The 21,909-nt window shown below is 34.5% G+C and overlaps 1 protein-coding gene across 4 annotated transcripts in view; it reads right to left on the bottom strand.

Annotated features, from left to right (window-relative positions):
* VPS13A (vacuolar protein sorting 13 homolog A) overlaps positions 1 to 21,909 on the bottom strand; it is a 244,004-nt gene that overhangs the window by 52,337 nt on the left and 169,758 nt on the right. For all 4 annotated transcript variants that reach the window (NM_033305.3, NM_001018037.2, NM_015186.4 and 1 more), the window contains 10 exons: positions 17,755 to 17,884; positions 15,560 to 15,792; positions 12,334 to 12,487; positions 11,363 to 11,509; positions 10,763 to 10,844; positions 9,799 to 9,868; positions 8,560 to 8,665; positions 3,628 to 3,741; positions 2,329 to 2,474; positions 1,065 to 1,146 (listed from right to left, as the gene is read on the bottom strand). In NM_033305.3, coding sequence (NP_150648.2) covers positions 1,065 to 1,146; positions 2,329 to 2,474; positions 3,628 to 3,741; positions 8,560 to 8,665; positions 9,799 to 9,868; positions 10,763 to 10,844; positions 11,363 to 11,509; positions 12,334 to 12,487; positions 15,560 to 15,792; positions 17,755 to 17,884 — 1,264 coding nt within the window. The remainder of the gene's footprint in view (positions 1 to 1,064; positions 1,147 to 2,328; positions 2,475 to 3,627; positions 3,742 to 8,559; positions 8,666 to 9,798; positions 9,869 to 10,762; positions 10,845 to 11,362; positions 11,510 to 12,333; positions 12,488 to 15,559; positions 15,793 to 17,754; positions 17,885 to 21,909) is intronic.

The raw sequence follows: 21,909 nt of genomic DNA, 5'->3' as shown, positions 1-21,909 counted from the left end.
CTTTAATGCCAATTTCAACTCCTAAACCATCTCATTTTATTAATCACTACTCTTTTTTTTCTTTTTCTTTTTGAGACAGTCCTGCTCTGTTGCCCAGGCTGGAATGCGGTGGCGCCATCTCGGCTCACTGCAACCTCTGCCTCACGGGTTCAAGCAATTATTGTGCCTCCTCCTCCCAAGCTGGGACTACAGGCATGCACCACCATGCCTGGCTAATTTTTGTGATTTTAGTAGAGATGGGGTTTCGCCATGTTGGCCAGGGTGGTCTCGAACTCCTGGCCTCAAGTGATCCACCAGCCTCAGCCTCCCAAAGTGTTGGGATTACAGGCGTTAGCCACCATGCCAGGCTTATTGATCGCTATTCTTAGCTTTTAAAAAGTAATTTGGTATTATAGTATTAAAAATAATATGACATTATATTCATGTAAAGCTCTAGAATATTTAAAATACTTTCACTTTTACAATTATCTGTGACCACTGTCATTACCACCACCGTTTTATAGATTGGAGAAACATATAAGTCAGATGATACTCAGGGTCACATAGTGGGTATATGGCAAAAGTGGGAGAAATCCAAATCTCCTGAGTCATGCTCAGTGATCTGTCATACCACAGCTATATCAGATACTCTAAGTTATATCCTAAAACCCAAGAGTCTCTCTAGAAGTGGAAAAACATCTGTTAAAAAAATACATCTGGCTGACTTAACAACTAGTTACACTAAAAATATCCCGTGTTCATCAGTTAGTTACTAATAGTTTCCATGAACCCATTTTTTAATTAAGTGTGATAAATTAGTTAATATTTTATTTAAAGATTTATTTATTTCCAGTCCTGCTGATCCACAAAAAATTTCTCTCAGTGGCTAAAAAATATAAGGACAAAAAATTCAAATAGTGATTGAGCTTAATTTCTTTTTATAATTCTGAGGAAAATACCCATGCTTTAATAATTTGAAAATGGCTATTTAGTTCCTCAATAGTTCCACATTATATATGTATAGACACAAAAGGTTTTACCAGTCTGTATCACTCTGTCCCTCTGTAATATAATCTTAGACAAACCTGTTTTGAATAGTGTCTTATGACTTCAGACTGTAGATCGGATGTTGTATGGAACTGATAGTTGAGTTCAAAAAATGCAAGCCTGAAAAAAGCGTAAAAATATATTGTCTGTACATGTGTATGAAGAAAGTATTTTTAATATTAATGAGTGGCTTTATTTTCTTTAGAATCTTTTCTCCAAACCTTTCCTTCTAGTACATTTTCCCATGCCAATCAGGAAATTTACTTTTTACATACATCTCTGCATATCCTAATCAAAGAACCTTCTAAGAATCTGATAAAAGACATGGATCTTATCTTCAGACAAGTCACCAGTACACATAAATTTTCATGTAAATTCGAGAGTTCTGAGATCCTGTGAATCCCATTCATGTACCACTAGAACTTTATTTCCCAATTCTGTCCTATCATGGCCCACATAGAAAATGTCTGACACACTGATAAAGAGGTTGCTCACGAATGGCCAGGTTCAGCTGCAGCAGGTTTTGCCTGCTTACTTATAACTCCATTCACAGAATATATACTAAGATTAGCTTACTTATAACCCATCCATAGCATATACCTGATACAGTAACTGAAAAGCTCTATGCTTCTTGTTGCTAAGTAGAATACTATTTCTGCTAACATCATACCTGTGTACTTTTATTTGACACTTACCTAACTTCAGGTTCAGTGTTACCTCGTGTTGGACTTATTGATTCTTACGACTGTTCTTAATAATCAATTCTAGATGCTACTTGAAAGGGTTATTCTCTTCTAAAGTCTCAACTCAGACATTCTGAATCTCTTTGGTCAGATACTCTATAAGCTTCATTATGACTCATATTAAAATATAAATTCCTGATTACAACACTTAAAGTTGATCCTTTCATTTCCCCTATTATCGCATTCATTCTGTTCTAGTTGCAAATGCTTTGAAGAGTCTTATTCCTATTAGCTTCAAATCCATACATTTCAGGCACCATATCTTTGGGCATACACATCCTATCCTTCCCTAAGCCAGAAAGATCTTTTAAAATGTGAAACTTGCATGGCCTATGACTCTTTTTCTTAAGGAAATTGTTTAATAATTCTGTAATTTAGCAATTAGGGGTTAGCAAATCATACGTTGGTGTTATTCAGATTGCACTTCACTTGAATGCAAAAACCTCATTTTGCCTATGATCTGCAACGTACTTCACACACTTTTTCATTTACGAAATTTTTAGGGACATATAAAATAGAAATATTTCCATCAATTTACAGATTTGAATACTAAACATACTTAAAAACTACATCTTGTACATCTGTCAGTGTGGCACCAATACTCTTCAGCAAAAGATTTAAAGAATGAACTGGAATCAGTCCTCCATTTTGTTTTGAATCTTTAGCTTCTTCTCTGCCGGAACTCAGTGAAACACTTAAATGTAACTAAAAAGATAAAGAGATAAATATTTAAAAGTATTTTCTTCATATTGACAATTTTAACTCTTAAAAAATCAGTTTAATTTTAAATTCACTACACCATAAATAAGATTTCAAAGTTATCTGGATTATGTTAAAATCACTAAGTAGAAATATGAAGAAATTTAAAATCTAACATAGCTCTATTTAAATCTTCAATTCAACAATTTAAGATAGCATGATATTTAATCCTATCCCATTCTTTTGGCAAACCTAAGAAAATATTAATTTTTATATATTTGTTAATAACATTAAAAATCTAAAAGTTGAAGCTGTTGAAAATGACTCAAATACATATGGTCCCCAACTTATATGACTTATGTTTCACTTATGATTTTTCAACTTTACAATGCTGCAAAAGCAATACACCTTCAGTGGAAACTGTACTTTGAATTTTGATTCAAAATTCTTTATAATAACTTTATTAGAAAATAGGCATTGTGTTAGATGATTTTGCCCAGCTGTTTTGAGCATGTTTAAGACAGGCTAGGCTAAGCTTTAATGTTCAGTAGGTTAGGTGTATTCAATGCATTTCTGACTTACAAGATTTTCAACTCATGATGGCTTTACTGAGATGTAACTCTGTCATAAGCTGAAAGGTATTTGTATCTCCAAAAGTATATGTTTCAATTATTTCAGAAGTTAATAGCCAGTTAAAAAACACTTTTGTATTGTATTGCATATATACTCTACATATATGGTTGTTTAGTAATTTTCTTCTATTATTGTATAATTAGCTTATAGGAATTTTGCACTAAAAACTAACTTAGATTTGATACCATTCAGTCTTCAGTTCTTAAGGCTACTTTATAAATTACTTTAAAACTAATACACAAATCATCATATGCAAAATTTTGAAAATTGTCACCTAACAGCTTAACAGAAAATCAAGGTAAAATAATGTTAGGTCAAATTATAAACATAAATACATGCTATAGGTGGCTCCACATGATAAAAAGTTATTTAAAAATAAATAAAAATGTAAAAGGGTAATTCCTTTGTTACTTAGTTTAATTGTATATTTACAGATTTTATATATTACTGAAGAACACAATATAAATGCTACATCAATTTGCTATTACCTAGATTATCAAGGACAATAAAAATGACTTTCTCCTACCTTGATAGGAGATATATGAAAATATTCATAGAGGCTGACTTGTGATTGATCTACTAATGAGGCTGTTTTATATTCTTCTTTGAAAGCTTCTATATCTTTATGAAAAAGCTCAACCTATAAAAGGAACACAAAATATTAAAACTAAAGGGACCTACCTGCATGAGATATTTAAGCAAATAGAAGACACACTGCCAAAACTCTTCTATAAGATCCAGACTCAACATTGCTTATGATTGCCTCAGAAGGGAAAGTAACATCTCTATCTATAGGACAGTTCTGTCTGCCACTGACAAACCAACAAGCATTATCTTCTATATTTCTATCCAAACCATTAAAAGACACTAAGCTTTTCTCCATGTGACTATAAATCTTATCCCAAAATGACATTAATCCATACCATCAACACTCTCTTGGGTATATTTGTTTCTTTAAACATAATCATACAGTCAACTTGTATTTTGTAGTCTACTTGTAATTGCTTTAATGCATCCTACACAGATCAGTAATATAATAAAATAAAGAAGGTGTTGAAAACAATTTTGCATTAATTGATTGGTGGTTTCATTCTTGATATTCATCAATACTTCTCCTTTAAATGCTCAGACGGAAGTAACTTCTATGTGTTGAAAAATGAGCCCCAAGATTCACATTTTAACATATTCATAAAAACATAAGAAATGATAGCCTTATAAAAAGTATATTTAGAAATCAATTTCTGAAATGACAGTGGGAAGCTCTTCAAACCAGCACCCCAGCTAAACTGATAAAATTTAAACAACAACAACAACAAATTTAAGGCCTCTAGGAATGGTTTTAAGGTCATAAGCAAATGAAGAAACATCTATTTAAGAAAACCTAAAGAATTTGGTAAGAAAAGCGAATCCGTGGTGTTTTAACAAAGGCCATTCCCTCTGTCCCCTCTCCCAGACTAATGAGCCAGAATTCTACTCTAGACTAGTATACCCAAGAACACAGAGCTCCTTCTTGGCCCAGTCCTCAATTGGAGGACTTCCTTCCTGGGAAGAACAGGACGTCAGCATTTCTCATCCTGTTCCCAGCTACCTGCTGCTGAGGTTAAGTTATGGTTGAGTGCAACTGTGAGGCGGGGGCTTCCTTTATGGGTTTTTTTTTGTTTGTTTGTTTTTTTCGAGACGGAGTCTCGCTCTGGTCACCTAGGCTGGAGTGCAGTGGCGCGATCTCGGCTCACTGCAACTTGTGCCTCCTGGGTTCAAGCAATTCTCCTGCCTCAGCCTCCTGAGTAGCTGGGATTACAGGCACCTGCCAACACGCCTGGCTAATTTTTGTATTTTTAGTAGAGATGGGGTTTCACTATGTTGCCAGGGTGGTCTCGAACTCCTGACCTCAAGTGATCTACCCACCTTGGCCTCCCAAAGTGCTGGGATTACAGGCGTGAGCCACCGTACTTGGCAGGGCTTCCTTTCTCTGTCCAGCCTCTGTGCAGGGTAAAAAAGCTCTGCCTTGGGTACAGTACCACTGAGAATACTAGAGTTCTGATCACTCTTGCCCAGGCCTGTAATGTGGTGGTTCCATGCCAGCAAAGGCAAGCTGAGATCATCTCAGGCCACTGCCCCTCTTACCCCACCACACATAGTGCTCAGCTCCTAAACTGGGGTGTTACTCAAATAGAAGGGTGTCACAACTGTTCCCACCGCCAGCTTCAGAGGCCTGGTTTAGGGATTTTTGCTGATGGGGAAAGTAGGTTTTAAAACAGGTAACTATTAATCTCTTCCCAAAGGAACTAATTTCACTTATAACATATAGTGCAGTTCGAGCCTAAGGGCTCTCAGAAACAGCAGATGTGGTGAAAGACAACTAAAAGGAAAGTCATTGATTTACAGAAGATACTGGCTAACCTGTAGACCTAATAGTTTGCAGGAGAAAATCAGAGAAAGTGACAAATAGGAGTTTTCCTGAGGTCAGAACAAAAAAACACAGAAACATGGTGAAACCCTGTCTCTACTAAAATTACAAAAATTAGCTGGGCATTTTGGCACACGCCTGTAATCCCAGCTACTCGGGAGGGAGGCTGAAAAACGAGAATTGCACAAACCCACGAGGCGGAGGTTGTAGTGAGCTGAGATTGCTTTTGCAGCATTGCACTCCAGCCTGGGAGACAGAGCGAGCCTAGGTCTCAAAAAAAAAAAAAAATAAAAAAAAAAAAATTAATGTAATAAAACATATCAGTAGAACAAAACCCAAAAAGTGTACAATCATTTCCATAGATGCAGAAAAAGAATGACAAAATATATAATCATGATTAAAAACACTCAACCAACTAAGAAAAGAACTTCCTCAACCTGAAAAAGGATGTCTAGGAAAAACCCAGGGTCAATATCATACTCAAAGACTGAAAATTTACCCTCCAAGATCAGAGGCAAAAGAAGAATGTCTGCTCTTGGCACTTCTGTTTAATGTGTCACCAATTTCTAGACACAACAACTAGGGAAGAAGAAGAAACAAAGGCATTCAGATCAGAAAGAATGAAGTAAAACTACCTCTCCTCTCAGATGACACGATCTTATGTATAGAAATCCCAAAAGAATATACGGAACAACAAATAGAGCTAACAATTCAGTAGGGGTGCAAAATACAAGATCAGTATAAAAAAATCAACTGCATTTTTATACAGTAGCAATGAACAATCCAAAAATGGAATTAAAAAATCAATTTTATTCATAATACTATAAGAAGAATATAATACATAGGAATAAATTTAATGAAAAATGTGTAAAACTTACACTCTGAAAAACAACAAAACATTGTTAAAAAAAATTAAAAATCTACATAAATGGATAAACATGTCATGTGCAAGGACTGAAAGACCTAATACTGTTAGGATGGCAATACTTCCCAAATTGATTTACAGATTCAATGCAGTCTCTATCAGATGTCCAGCTGACTTCTTTGAAGAACCTGACAAGTTGATTCTAAAATTCATATGAAATTTCAAAGGACTCAGAACAGCCAAACCCATCTTGAAAAAGAAGGACAAAGTAGGAAGATACATATGTCCCAATTTCAAAACTTAATACAAAACAATAACTAAGACAGTGTGCAATGCACAAGGGCAGATGCACAGATCGACGGAATAAAATCACATGTGTGTTGTTAACTGATTTTCAACTAGGGTGTCAAGACCATTCAAAGAACAAATAGTCTTTTAAAGAAATGGTAATAGGACAACTGGATAGCAACATGCCAAAGAATAATTTGGATCCTTATACATCATATACAAAAATGAACTAAAAATTGATCAAAGACCTAATCATAAGAGCTAGATCTTTAAAATTCGTAAAACGTAAGATATTCATGACCTTGGATTTGGCTAAGGATTCTTAGAAATGACACCAAAAGCATGAGCAACAAAATAAAAAATAATTTGAACTTCATTAACTTTAACTTTTGATTTTCAATAGACAACATCAAGAAAGTGAAAAAGCAACACACAGAATGAGAGAAAATATTTGAAAATTATGTATCTGATAAGAGACCTGTATCGAGAATATGCAAATAACTTTTATAAGAAAAAAGACAAATAACTCATTAAATAATAAGCAAAGGATCTGAATGGACATTTCTTCACATAAGATATGCAAATTAACTACTTAACATATTAAAGGATAATCAACATATCAAAGATGCTCAACATCATTAGTCATCAGGTAATTACATGTCAAAACCACAATGACAAACTATTTCACATTCACCCATTATGATTGCTAGAATCAAAGACAGATAGTAACAAGTGTTGGGGATAATATGGAAAAATCAGAGCCCTCATATGCTCTGGTAAGAATGTAAAATGGTGGAGGCACTTTGCACAACTGCCTAACAGTCCCAAATGATTAAATATAAGGTTACTATGTGATTGAGCAATTCCACTTCTAATAAAATTTTATTTCTTTTGGCTATATACCTAGGATTGGAATTGCTTAATCACATGGTGATTAAGTTTAAATAGTTTAAGACTTTTAATAAAGTTTTTGTCCAATAAAAACTTGTACACCAGTATTCATTACATTATCCATAAAAGCCAAAATGTGTAAACAACCCAAACGTCCATTAACAGATATATGGATAAACAAAATGTGGCCCATCCATATAATGGAATATCACTTAACCATAAAAAGGAATGAAGTACTGATACATGCTACAACATAGATGCACCTTGAAAGCATTATTCTAAGTCAAAGAAGCCCTTCACAAAAGACTACACAGTGTATGATTCTATTTGTATGAAATATTCAGAATAGGCAAACCTAAAGACACAAAGTGTATCAGTGGCTGCACAGGCAGTTCCTTTTGGGGATGATGAAAATGTTCCGGAATTAGAGAGTGATGATGATTGTACAACTTTGTGAATACATTAAAAGTCATTGAACCCTATCTTTTAAATGGGTGAAATGTATGGTATGTGATCTATACCTCAATAGACTGTTACTAATTTGCTCTTTCTCCATCCATGAATCTATGAGGGCAAGTGAAAAACAGACTATATCTGACCCACTTTATAACTATGATTTTATGGTCTTCCAGTCACCCAGATGATACCACCTTTTAATTTTCCTATCCTTTCTCCCATTAAATATCCTGGACATACCCTAAATTTCTAAATTATTAAAGTGAAAGCAAAGCCAAAGTAATCCAGGAAAATAAAAGAGGAAAAAAGTGATGTGAACATGACAAATTATCCTTTTCTCCCTGCTATTCACCCCAAGCCTTTCCTCCTGTTTGCTAATTTTCTATCATCAGAAAATAAGATTTCTAAAAAGGTATGTACCACAAGAGAGTAATAAAATTTATTTAATTGTATTTTTAAAATGCAACAAAGTCATTTTAATACCTTTAAAAATTTATAATAATATCTTTTCCCTAATCCTTTCCATCAAATGTTATTATTTTAAGTCTTACCTCTGTATTTTCAGTCACCTCAGCTTCTGTCATAAGGTCTGTTAAAGCATAGATAAACCCAAGATCTAACCTGAGATCCATTTCTTGAATCAATACTTTGAAATACCTGTATTACAAAGTAGAAAACATTTTTTAAAAATCATCAATTAACAACTGTATTACAAAAATTAGATGAGAAAAAAGTATGAGATCAATATTAGAACTTTGAAACTTAGGACTATTTAGTTGACTAAATTTTAAAAAATCATGGAACACTGTTAATAACAGCAACAAAGTCAAAATATGAAAATGGCCATAAAGAGGAACCAGATAAGTAAACTGTCATACAGAGTCATAAAACAGAATATTATATATTAGTGATAATGAATAAACTATGGCTACATACAACAAAATGAATAAATTTTAATAAAAATGTTGAATGAACAAAAGCAAGTCCCAACATCTATTTCCGGCCTGAAACAATTTTCTAAAAATTAGAAAAAAATTAAAACTAAAAGGCATAATGTTTAGGTACACATGAACAATAAAACTATATTTTAAACAGCAAGGAAATAAAGATAGGTTATCTTGGTGACAAGGTAAGGGAAATTAGACAGGAGATTATTACATAGATGTTTCAGTCCATCTTCTGTTTCTTGGAATGGGTAGTGAGTGAAGACGAAAATATTATTGTTTTCCTTTTTCAAAACAATATATGATTATAGACAACCCCAAACAAAAAACAAATACAAGTACAAGAGAATAATAAAATATCCAAAATCCAGAAACAATGATTATAAATACCTAGATGTATTTCATCCAGAGCCGCCTTTTTTTTTTTTTTTTTGAGACAGTCTTGCTCTGTCACCCAGGCTGGAGTGCAGTGGTGTGATCTCAGCTAACTGCAAGCTCTGCCTCCTGGGTTCAAGCGATTCTCGTGCCTCAGCCTCCTGAGTAGTTGGGACTCTGGGCACGTGCCACCACGCCTGGCTAATTTTTGTATTTTTAGTAGAGTTGGGGTTTCACCGTGTTGGCCAGGTTGGTCTCGAACTCCCGACCTCAAGTGATCAGCCTGTCTAGGTCTCCCAAAGTGCTGGCATTACAGGCGTGAGCCACAACATTATATTTTTTTATTTGACGTTTATAATTAATATTTTATGCTTAAATCTTTGACTTGTCCAACATTTAAAGAGTACAAACAATTCATATATTTAAATCAAACATTAAATAAATATACAAGAAATGTATTAAGACACTTACTTAATACGTGATATCTGGGAATGTCCTGCAGATCTCATGACAATACTGACATCTGTAAAGGGCTTTGGTGCTGTAAAGGTTATAAATATAATTACTCCCATGATGCTTTAAGCAAAAGCTAGGCATTTTCTTCCAATATACACCACAATGGAAAATTAAATCATTTACTAAATAATAAATATCAGTTAAAATTACTGATATTGGCAAAATCTACTACAATCTTAATTTCAGACTCTAGCATTGTTTTTAAAACTATCTATAGTTACTCTGAAGATAACTAATTCTACAATTAGCAGTTTAGAAGTATGCATTAGAATCATCAGGGAAACTTTGTGAAAACAGATTCTGGGGACTTGCTCCAGACCTCTAGGTGGAAGGGCTTACGCATTATACTGGCCAAAAAGCTTCTGAGCGAGTTATAAAGAGTACTCCCCCCAGGATAGTTTAGAAGAAGTGGTGTGGGGTGGAGGTGGGAAAGCAAGGGGAGAAGAAAGTTAAGTAGGGTAGTGAGGAGGGAAGAGAAAGTAGGGGGAAGAGGGATATGCAGGAAACAAGAAAGGCAAAGGGAAAGAAAAGGGTAGAAAGGACTTGTCCGTTATTCTTATTTGGAGAACATAGGACAGTTTCTGCTGTTAGAAAACACTCTAGATTTGAACTTCCTTATTGTTCATTCAAAGGCTTTAAAGGTTTTTAAATCGCAGGTTTACAGATTATCTGCTTTTTAAATTAGTATTTCTAAAAATTTCAATATATGTTTCTAATCAATCTTTTCTTCAAGATTCACTCAAAATCTTATCAAAGTTAGTTGTGTATAGTACTTGCTGGTCCTTTTTCAAGCAGTTTAATTTTCCAATTATCCTATAAAAATTAAACCCAAGAATGGTTTCACTTCATATTTTTATAGTAAAGTAAATCAAATAGCTAATACAACTGCTTTTATGGAAATCTAAAAATAAAAACAAACCTGAATCCATGGTGACCGACTTTGGAGGTTTAACAGGATAAAACACAAAGGGAAATACAGCACCATGTATCTGATTTTGGATCTAAGAAAATAAAAACACATCAGTATATTAATATGTCAATTATACAACCTGACCAGAATAACAGGATTTGAGGAACAAAAAGAATCAAAAAGTCTAGCGGTGACCAAGCACGGTGGCTCACGCCTGTAATCCCAGCACTTTGGGAGGCCGAGGCGGGTGGATCATCTGGGGTCAGGAGTTTGAGACCAGCCTGGCCCACATGGTGAAACCCCGTCTCTACTAAAAATACAAAAATTAGGTGGCCATGGTGGTGGGCACCTGTAATCCCAGCTACTCAGGAGGCTGAGGCAGCAGAATCGCTTGAACCTGGGAGGCAGGGTTTGCAGTGAGCTGAGATTCCGCCACTGCACTCTAGCCTGGGCGACAGAGGGAGACTCTGTCTCAAAAAAAAAAAAAAAAAAAAAGGCTAGCACAACATTGAAACTGAATACTAGATAAAGCAGACCATGGGAATAGATCTGGTTTCTTATTGCATTCCTTTAGAATACAATTTTGCCTATATTTTCAGAAAGACTTACCTGTATTCTGTAAATCTGAATTCTAAATGATGATTGATGTGCAGATGTGTTATATTCCACTTTTAATGCTGGAAGATAATTTCTTCGTAGAGCTATTACATGCGGCTGCAGAATTTTCATGTTATGACCAGTAGGGGTTAGGCGAACCTGAAAAATATGTCCCCCCAAATGAAAAAATTAATTTATCTATAAATGACTAGAATTAGAAATTAATGCCAAAAACTTTTTAAAACAGTAAGCTACATATTTGTATTAGTTTAGATTTAGATCTTAATATCCCATGTCCATAAAATTCACATATTCATATAATTCTTACAAAGCTTCACTGCATTACTTTTTACATAAATGTACTAAAATTTACCACAATAAAAATGAATAAAGGAAAAATAAAATATTTAAAGAAAGTACAGTGAAAAAATAAAACATTTTTAAGTTTCCTGCTAACCCAAAGAACAGATCATTAGCATCTAGTATCTTAAAAGAAAGTTTTCTTTTCTTTTTTTTTTTTTTTTTTTTTTTTTTGAGACAGAGTCTTGCTGTCAGCCAGGCTGGAGCGCAGTGGGGCCATCTTGGTTCACTGCAACCTCCACCTCCTGGGTTCAAGGCATTCTCATGCCTCAGCCTCCTGAATAGCGGGGATTACAGGCGCCTGCCACCATGCCTGGCTAATTTTTGTATTTTTAGCAGAGACAGGGTTTGCCATGTTGGCCAGGCTGGTCTCGAACTCCTGACCTCAAGTAATCCGCCTGCCTCAGCCTCCCAAAGTGCTGGGATTACAGGTGTGAACCACTGCGCCCAGCCTGATTTCTTAATATAGATAAACACCTCTTTAAAACATTTTATACAAGGTATGTATGACAGGATTATTTTGTTTTATAAGGAAGCCAAACTTTCCTTAAATTTCACTAGTGATTCACCAAACTACGACAGGCAAAAAATTAAAACTTCACATCAGTACTTAAAAATATTACCGGAACATTAGTGTCCAACTGAATAACCTTATCTTCTGAAGGAGAAGATTCAGTATATTCCTTAAATTCTCTCTCTAACTTCTCAGTGTGCTTTACACTCATTGGCTTCCATCTTGCCTTCTTCTTGGGCTTTGTTTCCCAAACCACATCAGAACTTATTTAAGAAAGCAAAAATCATAGTATTTAATACTAAGTTATTAACATTTATTTTAACTGGTTTATTACATGAATTACAATACCTTCACTAAAATTTCAGAACAGCCTCAATTACAAGTGAGCATATTACAAATTTAAAAACATGAATTCATTCAACTACTACCTATTAAGCTACTACTGAGGCACTATTCTAGGTGTTACAGCCGTTATCAGTGAACATCTCTGTCATTCTGGAGCTTCATTTTAGTGGGGGAGTGAAAATAAATAGTAAACAAAATAAATTAGTAAAATTTAATATGTAGGAGGTGAAAATGCTTTTGAAAGAAGAAAATGTAGACAAGGCAAGGGGGATCCGGAGAACTGCAATATGTAAAGTGGTGGGGTCTTCAATATTAGAGTGGTCAATGGGGGATTCATTGAGAAAGTGAGATTTTGGCAACCTTAAATGAGCTGAGAGAATTATCCAGCAGACAAGAGGAGGAAAACATTTCAGGTAGAGAGGCCAGCTAAAGCAGGAGGCACACTTGCAGTATATGAAGAAGAGCAAGGAGGCTGGCATGTCAGGAACACATTAGGAATAGAAAATAAAGTAAGACTTATAGTGGGGGGCCAAATAATGTAAAGCATTGTAGACCACTGTAGACTCTGAGTTTTATTCTGAGTGAGATGAGATACCACTGATCGGTTATAAGACAACTAACAACATAATCTGACTTACATTTCGTTAAGAATACACTCTGTGTTGAAGTGGATGGAAAGAAAAAAGAGTGGAGTCAAGATTAGAAGCAGGAAAACTTGTTAGTGTACTACAGTAAGCCAGTTGAAAAATGGTGATGGCCCTGATGAGGCTATTAACAGTGAGATACTAGAAAAGTGGTCAGATCTATGTGCACTTTGAAGGTAGAACCAGCACAGATCTTCTTGATGAATTAGGTCTGGGGTGTAAGATAAAGAGAGGAATCGAAGACAATTTCAATATTTTTGGGCTGCATAACTAGAAGGAGCTATTTTTTATTAACTCTGATTGGAAAGCTGGAGTTTTGGTAGAAGGAGGAAATAAAAGGTTTAGTGTACACATATGAAGTTTAAGAAGTCTCTTAGATATCTGAATAGAGATTTTGCATGCACAGTTGGATATATGAAGTCTTAAGGTCAGATGACAGGTGTGACAGAAGACATACCTAAGAGAGAAATTCTGGGCAGTATTTGAAATCATAAAACTGAAATCCACAAGAGAAAAGGACCAGGTCTAAGAGCCTCAAGGCATTTAGCCAATGTAAGCAGTTGAGAGAAGACAAGGAACCAATGAATGAGACTGGATAGGAAGAAAAACCAAGATGGTGAGGTATTCTGGAAGTCACGTGAAAGAAACTACATCAAGGAGGGATCTGTGTTAAATGTTATTAAGTAAAGACCGATAATTCTACACTGGATATGGCATTATGGAGGTCACTGGTAATGCTGACAAAACCAGTTTCATGGTGTGTTGAAAGCAAAACCCTGTTTGGAGTGGTTAAAGAGAAAATGGATGAAAAATAGTTGGAGAACACAGGATATGTTAAGTTCCTTTGAAACAGACAGTACATTTGAGGTGTTTGGTTATAAATGCAAAGAAAGAAATGAGCAACAGGTAGCAAGGAAAGTAGGCTCAAGAGAATTTTTTATGTTGAGAGAAGTAACACTGAAACAATTCAGTAGAGACCCAAAAGCTGTTGACTTAGGAGAGATGAAGAAGAGGACTGCTGGAACAATGTCCTCAAGTAGGTAAGAGGAAATGAAGTACAGTGCAAAAGTAGAGAAAAATCTGTTTAAACAGGAGCACATATATCTACTGTAAACTGTTGAGAGTATGTCAGTACAGCAAGTAGTATGCAAACGCTGGTAGATAGCAAGCTGTGATATTGGGGGGTGAGATGGGTCTCTGGAAGTTTGCTTTTGATGGGTTCAATTTTTTCAGTGAAGTGGAATGCAAGGTAGTAAGCTGACACAATGGGGGTTTAAGGGGAGACAAGTATAAAATAGTTATCTAGGATATAGAGTGCGCCACTGCAATTTCTTGCTCTGCTAACTCTGCTTTCTCACTTTCATATGTTACTTTCATATGTTACTTAAATATTTAAGTTGTTTAATTTTATTAAAGCATTCTATTTGTTTATTCCTTATAGAACTTATATTCATTTAAGAAACAGAAAGGTAGAGACCATGTATTATTCATCTTTGCATTAACATCACTTAGCTTAGAAGATAACATATAATAGGTCTAAAGGTCTTAAAAATCTATGGTGTATTTGATCTATTTAAATAGTAAAAACATTTTTTGAGAATAAAAATTCTTAAGAATATAGATTTTAATATTCCTTTTAAAATGGCATTGATTCAATTCAATAAGAGGTCAGGGACACGTATAGATTAATGTACATAGAAAACTAAATTTACATCTGTATCATATACCTTTATATATATTCAAGAATTTAATTCAAGAAAAGGATTAAAATTACATTATCCTGGTTATACAGAAGAAATATTCTCACATTAAGCACTAATATATGTAAATTAAAACAACTGTTTATGAATAGGAATAATAAGGACATAAGGGAGAGATAAAAGATTTAATGGTGATGTCTTATACGAGAAATGATAAATACAGTGATCACCTTATTAGATCTTATTAGATCTTAAAGTGCCAAGGTCAAATTAGAAAGTGATTGTCTATGTTAATCCTCCAACAGCTACAGCATATGTACCCTGAACTGTGCTAGATGGTAATGGAAAATGAACTAAGCATTTTGTATGATATGCAAAACATACTTTTGGCAAGTTGAATAAATATAACTTTTTAGATAAGTGGAAGGATTAACATAATAAGGAGTTTATAAATTTGATTTCTGCCATATCTTTATTTCAAAAGGCAAAAAATTCCCTCAAGCACATTTAAAACTAGCACTACCACAGTATCAATGAATAGTCAAAGCACAAAACTGAAACTAAATCATTTGAGATTTTACAATAACAATTTCTTAACAATTAGAAACTGATCATTTAAATGTATCCAAAATTTAATGCATCTAACCTTGTAATGCCTATATAGGCTACTTCTTGCTTCGTGTAATTGTTGACAAGAGAAATTCCAACATCTTGTAATGCCACTGCAATTTCTTGCTCTGCTAACTCTGCTTTCTCACTTTCATATGTTACTTTAAATACCCTTGGATCTTCAGTGAATAAAATAATGCGTTGTAAACCTTCAAAGAATGAAACTAAATATATTGTCTTTTCCCCCAAATCTATAGGCATCATCATATCCTAGAATAAAACCACCAAAAAAAAAAAAAAACCAAAAAATTAGAATTTGGTCCCAAAGAACATGAAATTTAGATTTCACATTTATAAAATGAGACTATTAATGGCACCTACTTCATGGGGTTAGTGGCAACTAAATGAATTAATATTTGTAGAATACTTGCAAATTTACATTATTGAAATCATTTGATGTTATCTGTTATAAAATTATTACTCATAAAGACAGGCCAATTGTTTACTTTTTTAATTTAAACATTTTAATAAAATTGAACCTTCCCACGTAGGCTAATCTGTAACACAAAGTATTTTTTTCTGCTTTATTCTAAGACTACAGCAATGTGATATGTATTAAAAGTTGTTTCAGTTTGAAATTCACATTTCCTTTCATAGCTGAATCAAACAGGATAAAAAATATCTTGTATCTCAATTGTATGTTCTACAAAGCATGTATATTCATCATGAGGCTATTTCTGCAGGAATCTCACATAAATGTGCTGATATCAGGGTTTTGAGGGTCAATGACAAGATAAACATAGCAAATTCTCATAATTAATATTCAGCCATTAATTTCTAGTTAATATTCTGATTTTCAGAAAATTTTACTATATAGTATACCTTCACGTTGCAATATACAGAAATTAAAAACTGTGAGTTGTTACCATAAAATAATTATCTGGGGATACTTACCTTACTTGTAATACTTTCTAAGTATATATATGTATATCACTAAAACCACATTGAGAATCAAGAAGACTAACTTATTTCACTGAAGTCTTTCTAATATTTTACAGTGAATGTCTGATTTATCTTTATAAGCTTCAAACTATCACTATGATATAAATATGCAAAGTACTAATCAACAGATCAAATGAATAAGACTTTTTATATCAAAGTACAATTTTTTTTCCTGAATAAATCTAATAGTAATGAATTTTTAAAACTGAAAGGCCACTTATAGGCAATCCTCTTAAATACAATGTAAACAATACCCACAGCAGACTCCTCAACAGCAGCACTGAAAGACAATGAGAAAATACCACCTACTGATAAGCAGGAAGAAAAAATCACCAGTGGTAAGAAAAAAAAACATCAGGAGTCAAATTAAGATGAATCTTGAAGGATTAAAAACTTTTAAAAATTTTCTGAAAGTATTTAAAATGTTACCAGAAAATATATGTGCATAACTTTATCATCATAGCTTGCCACTCAGAAATAAGTTTGTTTTAGTTCACTCAGTGGATCCTTAAATGTTCCTTACAGAAGCTAAATCTACCTAGTATGATTGTCAATGCAGAGAACATATTTGTTTTTCAGGTGAATGCTGAAAGCACTTCTCTAAACACAACTTTATTCTTTATAACACAGTAGAAGCAAATGATGTAAACAAAATAAGACTACTTTTGGTTTTAAACATTTTTGGTTAAGTAAATACTTGAATACTATTTTGAAGACGTTTGGCAGTTTTTCAGAAGTGTGGCCACAAAAAGTCCTTAAAACTAGGAAGGCTGAAAATCAAATACTGTTGTTTTTTGTTTGTTTTTTTTGAGACGGAGTCTTGCTCTGTCGCCAGGCTGGAGTGCAGTGGCGTGATCTTGGCTCACTGCAATCGCTGCCTCCCGGGTTCAAGCGATTCTTCTGCCTCAGCCTCCTTAGTAGCTAGGACTACAGGCACCCGCCACCATGCGAGGCTAATTTTTGTATTTTTAGTAGAGACGGAGTTTCACCATATTGGCCAGGCTGGTCACAAACTCCTGACCTGGTGATCCGCCTGCCTTGGCCTCCCAAAGTGAATTTTGTATTTTTAGGAGAGACAGGGTTTCACCTTATTGGCCAGGCTGATCTCCAACTCATGGCCCACCTCAGCCTCCCAAAAGTGCTGGGATTACAGGCGTGAGCCACCGCACCCGGCCCAAATACCTTTTTTAAAAAAGGCTGCTGGGAACACCATAATAACCCAATACTTACATCCTTCTGTGTTACTTCACCATGGCTTTTTCTACATCTCCACTTCAGCCTTCTAGAGCCCACCGGATCAGCCCATGTATAAAACACGGCTTTACCAGGAGGGAGGGAATCTTCTATTTCACTGAGAGAACTGACACAGTAGCAAAAATACGCGTTAAATTAAATGCAAGTACACGAAGAGATTAAAAAAAAACTAAAATAATACTTCATTAATTCTTAGTTCACTGAGATCTGTGATCGTTCTGATTAAAACAAGGCTGAAATTCTTACCTTATACAATTAAAAAAGGGTTCACTAATGAATATTTCTCATTATTTTCCCACTTAGAAAATACATGTTCTACTTAGGAAATAAAGGTCTTCAAGTCTTTAAAACTGTTTTGTCAATTTTTTAATACAAATTAATTATGGAAAATTATTCCAACTATTTTACCCTATTTATACCAATTCTAAGATAATTTAATTGGTAACTCTTTCCTAAGTATTGGTCTTACTAGAGCAAAAACAAAGTAACTAAATTATTCTTTAAAATCACAAAACATGAAATACACATCTAAGAAATTCAGTTGACTCACAAAAAGATGCTCAGAAAGAAAAAAACATTACAAAAGTTATAAACCAAACAAGTAATAAAATATAGCTCTTCTGAGTAGAAGAAGGAATTAACTCTGCAGATTTAAAAGACTTCACTGGGTATCAGACATAAATGAAAACAGTATCATTCTAGACATATCTTTGTAAGAAAATAGGGGGGAAAAAACCCTAACACATATCTAGGAAAATCATAGTCACTCGCAAGAAAATAAAAATGTTACTCTCACAGTTCAATGATGTTTAATATCAAAAAACAATGGCACAATACCTATACAATTTTGAGAAAAACGTTATCACTTAAAATTTTATGTCAAATTGTCATAAATTTGTAAGAATAAGACATTTCGAACAAGCAATAGCATAACACTATCCACAAATCTTTACTAAAAAAATAACTCAGACTTTTTCCAACCAAGCTAGAGATGAACTCAGAACAACATTTTAACAACTAGGATATAGAAATATTGAGGAACCTGTAGTGAACAATTAAACCAGTTTAAGAAAGTCATTTTTTTGTTAAAACATTAAAATCAATGCAAATACCAAAAGGGCCTTGAATGAAATAATACATATTTTGAAAAGCTAACCATTTTATATTAATCTGTTTGAAAACATACCAAATTATATTCACAAGAAAGTAAGAATTTGGAAAGAGGTTGAAGAAAAGGTAAAAAAGCATTACAATTTTTTATGGGTAAGCTAGCAGATACTGTTTCAATCTTAAAATTGATTTTAAATGTATCGAAACCTTCAATAACAAAAAAGGAATTATCCATAACCGAAACAGAATATGTATTTTCCAAAAAATCATTAGAAGACAATATACTACAAAAAAATATGGTAAGGAATTATAAACTAGTTATTACAATGATTACAAATGGGTTGAGGATCGTTATTAGAAGATAAACTGGGCTGGGCGCGGTGGTTCATGCCTGTAATCCCAGCACTTTCGGAGGTCGAGGCAGGTGGATCACCTGAGGTCAGCAGTTTGAGACCAGCCTGGCCAACATGGTGAAACCCTGTCTCTACTATAAATATGAAAATTAGCCGGGCATAGTGGCGCGCACCTGTAATCCCAGCTATTCAGGAGGCTGAGGCAGTAGAATCGCTTGAACCTGGGAGGCAGAGGTTTCAGTGAGCTGAGATCGCGCCTCTGCACTCCAGCCTGGGCAAAACAACAAAATTCCATCTCAAAAAACAAATAAACAACAACAAAAAAAGAAGATAAACTGATTCTAAAATTATAAAAGTTGAAATAAAAATTCTGAACAATTAAGTATTTATTTAATTGTAGAGCATCTAAATGATAGAATATCACGCATTCAGTAAAAATCATGCTTTGCAGGGACACAAAGAAGGAACAACTGACATCGGGAACCTATTTGGGGGTGGAGAGTAAAAGGAGGGTGAGAATCGAAAAACTACCTATTGGGTATCATGCTTATTACCTGGGTAATGAAACAATCTGTATACCAAAACCCCGTGACATGCAATTTACCCATGTAACAAACCTGCACATGTAACCCCTGAACCTATAATAAAAGTTAGAAAGAAAAAAAAATTGTGCTTTGAAGCAAATTGATATGCTCACAATAGCTGTCAAATGTGAGAGATACATAAGGAAGGAAGAAAGGGAGGGAGGGAGAGAACAAAGGAGGGAGGAAAGGAAAGGAAAAGCAATGAACCAAAATGTTGACAGTATTTGGATTACAGGGATTATGGTCCTCTTTCACATTTTTTCTGTAGTATTTTTTAAAACAGTAATTTAACAACTATTACTTTTATATGCAGGAAATAACATCCATATTTTTTTAAAAGCCAAGAGAAGGAAATGTGGAGGAGAAAACAAAATCATACTCTTCATTTTTCCATGAAAAAAAAAATCAAATGTAAATGTGTTGATTATCAAATAAATTTGGTTTAAAAATATTTAAAAATGCTCTTAATTCATACAAATTTTAATCTGTTTAATTCATTGCAGAGTATTCCTTATGCAAAAACGTACTGGACTACCTGGGACAGGCAATGAAAATTCCAAGAAAAGGGAAACTAACCATAGTCCTCAGACTATTCACTATCTGTGTGTACATGTCTCAAACTCACAAGAAAGTAACACAATGTGACGAATGCTGCAATCTACATATGTAAAGGTGCTATCAAAAACTGGGGTACATAGATTAAGGTGGCAAGGGAAGGGATCACATAGAATGGCATTTTTCTTTTTTTTTTTCCTAAATTTAAGTTCCAGAATACACGTGCAGAACGTGCAGATTTGTTACATAGGTAAATGTATTCCATGGTGGTTTGCTGCACCTACCAACCTACACCTAAGTATTAAGCCCCACATGCATTAGCTATTTATCCTGATGTTCTCCCTGCCACCATGCCCCCAACAGGCCCCAGTGTGCGTTGTTCCCCTCCCTGTGTCCATGTGTTCTCATTGTTCAGCTCCCACTTATAAGCAGGGACATGCGGTGTTTGGTTTTCTGTTCTTGTTGCTGAGGATAATAGCTTCTAGCTCCATCCATGTCCTTGCAAAGGAATGATCTCGTTCCTTTTTACGGCTGCATAGTATCCATGGTGTATATGTACCACATTTTCTTCATCCAGTCTATCGTTGATGGGCATTTGGGTTGATTCCATGTCTTTGCTATTGTGAATAGTGCTGCGGTGAACATGTGTGTGCATCTATCTTTATAAGAGAATGATTTCTATTCCTTTGAGTACATACCCAGGAAGGGGACTGCTGGGTCAAATGGTATTTTGGGTTCTAGGTCTTTGAGGAATCACCACACTGTCTTCCACAATGGTTGAACTAATTAACACTTCCAGCAACAGTGTAAAAGCGTTCCTATTTCTCCACAGCCTTGCCATCATCTGTTGTTTCTTGATTTTTTAATAATTACAGAATGGCATTTTTCTAGCTGAAAGAAACACCTATTCAGGTAAAAACACATGGAAAGACCCAGAGCATTCAGGAAAAAAAAAAACTTCACTTTGTATAGGGTAAGATTTAGGCCACGGAAAGATAAATGTTTAGAAAGGCAGCCTAGAAGTATATTTTTAAAGAAATGGGTAAAAAAAGAAAAACTTTAAACTAGAGAGATATGATTATATTTCTTATTTTAGAAAACTCATTCTAGTGGAAAATGGGAGATTTACTAAAGATAAGACTAGATATATAGAGATAGATAAAAAATCTACTCAAATGTAGTTAGGCATGGTGGCACATGCCTGTAAACCCAGCTACTTGGAAGGCTGAGGCATGAGAATCACTTGAGCCTGGAAGGTGGAGGCTGCAGTGAGCCTGGATCGCACCACTGCACTCCAGCCTGGGCAACAGATTGAGACACTGTCTCAAAACAAAACAAAAAAGAAAAATCTACTCAAATAAAACAAAACAACGCATAAAAATCTACTCAAATAGATAAGAAATGGAGGGTTACTGAACTAGGATAATGGCAGGGGAGATTACATAAGAAGGGAATATTTATTTAAAAGTTTAAATTTAACAAACAAATGGAAACACATCTCATGCTCATGGATGGTAGATTCAATATTA

This window comes from Homo sapiens, chromosome 9 (assembly GCF_000001405.40).
Source record: "Homo sapiens chromosome 9, GRCh38.p14 Primary Assembly".
Taxonomy (NCBI): domain Eukaryota; kingdom Metazoa; phylum Chordata; class Mammalia; order Primates; family Hominidae; genus Homo; species Homo sapiens.
Note: the sequence above shows the minus strand (reverse complement) of the source record. Positions and strands in the feature narration are given on the sequence as shown.